At 37.7% G+C, this 2,021-nt stretch overlaps 1 pseudogene; it reads right to left on the reverse strand.

The window, feature by feature from the left end:
• On the reverse strand, positions 541 to 1,598 carry RPSAP20 (ribosomal protein SA pseudogene 20; annotated as a pseudogene).

Consider the following 2,021-nt stretch of genomic DNA (forward strand, 5'->3'; position numbering starts at 1 on the left):
AAGGTGAAAGTCTTCCCCTACAAAAGCTACTCTTTAAAGTTTGGAAGAGGTGATTGCACCATCAGATTTGAGACATCAATGCAGAAAAACAAAAAACAAAAAAGCAAGAAAACATGAAACCACCAAAGGAACACAATAATTCTTCAGTAACTGACCCCAAAGAAATGAAAATTTATGAAATACATGAAAAGGAATTCAAGAAATAAAAATTTATGAAATACACAAAAAGGAATTCAAAATAATGGTCTTAAGGAAACTAAGCAAAATATACAAGAACACAAATAAATAATTCAATGAAATTGGGAAAATCCCAATGGTATTCTTTACAGTAGTAGTGGAAAACAATTCCAAAATTTATATAGAAACATAAGAAACTTAAAATAGTCAAAACAATTCTAAGTAAGAAAAACAAAACTGGGAGCATCATATTTCCTGATTTTAAATTAAATCACAAAGGTATAATAATCAAAACAGTATGGTACTAGCGTAAAAACAGACACATAGACCAGTGGAACAAAATAGAGAACCCAGAAATAAATCCAAACATATACAGTCAACTAAATTTTGTAAGAACCTGATGATTATTTTCCATCAACCTTATTTTTGTGTTGCTTAACAGTCTGTGGAAAAACATCTTAAAACCACTCAGTGGTCATTCCTACCCATTCAGTGGCCTGAGCAGTGTGAGCTGCTGACCAGTCTTCCATGGCAGGCTGAGCACTCCAGTCTTCAGCAGGGAACTACTAAATAGGCACAGAGGGCACCCACGCTGCACACCTTCACACCAGTCTGCAATCTCAGACTGAGTAGCAGTAAACTCAGGAGCTGAAGCAGTCTATTCAATCTAAAATTCCTACTTGGTTACAGCTTTTTCAGCAGCAGCCTGTTCTTCCTTTTTAAGGTCTTCAGGATCTCTGTAGAAGTATAGATCAAGCATAACCCCTCATAGGTGTTCACGGGAAATGGTGCCACACATGCAAATCATTTTCCAGGCCAGCATCCATCACATCAAACCCACTAAGTGAGTTCCCTTGTTGTTGCATGGGATGGCAATATCCACATAGTGCAGAGGAGAATCTGTGTTACACAAACCAATGGTAGGCAGGTTACCATAAGATGCCTCTATGAGAGGATGGAGGTCAACCCTGGGCTCAGTAACAATCAGAACCCATGGCTTCCAAAAGACCATCTGGATCTGGTTAGTGATGTTTTCAGTGAAGCAGCAAGTAATAGGAGTAGCTTCAATGGTAGCAGCAAACTTTAACAAGGCCCATTGGCTAGTACTCTTGGAGGATATGACACTGACATCAGCAGAGTTTTCAGTGGCAGCAAAGACACAAGCTGCTAGCAGAAGCTTCTCCCAGGTCCTCCTCATATTTATGATGTAGATGCCATGACTTTTCCTCTCATTGATGTACTGTTCCATTTTGAAGTCAAGGTTGTTGCCACCTAAATGGGTTCCTGCAGCAAAAAACTTAAGAACATCCTCCTCTTTCATTTGTAGGACATCAAGGGCTTTGGACATTGTGAAAGTTTCCCTTTAAGTTATGGCAGAAATCCACAACAGCACCATTTGGACCCCTCTATAGGTAACATGGCTACAGTCAACTAATTTCTGACAAAGGCACCAAGAGGACACAATGGGGAAAGAATAGTCTCTTCAAATAATGATGCTGAGAAAACTATTTCCACATGCAAAAGAATGAAATTGGGTGCTTATTTTATACCATGCACAAAAACCAACTCAAAATGGATAAAAAGCTTAAATATAAGGTTAGAAATTATAGAAACTCCTAGAAGAGAATATGGGGGAAAACTCCTGAATATTAGTCTTGGCAATAACTTCTTAGATATTACATTAAAAGCTCAGGCAAAAAATTCAAAAATAAATAAATGGCACTACATCATTCCAAAAACCTTCTGCACAGCAAAGGAAACAATCAACAAAAGGAAATAGCAGCCTACAGATAGGGAAAAATATTTGCAAACCATATACCTAATAAAGGCTTAATGTGCAAAAT

This window comes from Homo sapiens, chromosome 1, assembly GCF_000001405.40.
Source record: "Homo sapiens chromosome 1, GRCh38.p14 Primary Assembly".
In the NCBI taxonomy this organism is placed as follows: domain Eukaryota; kingdom Metazoa; phylum Chordata; class Mammalia; order Primates; family Hominidae; genus Homo; species Homo sapiens.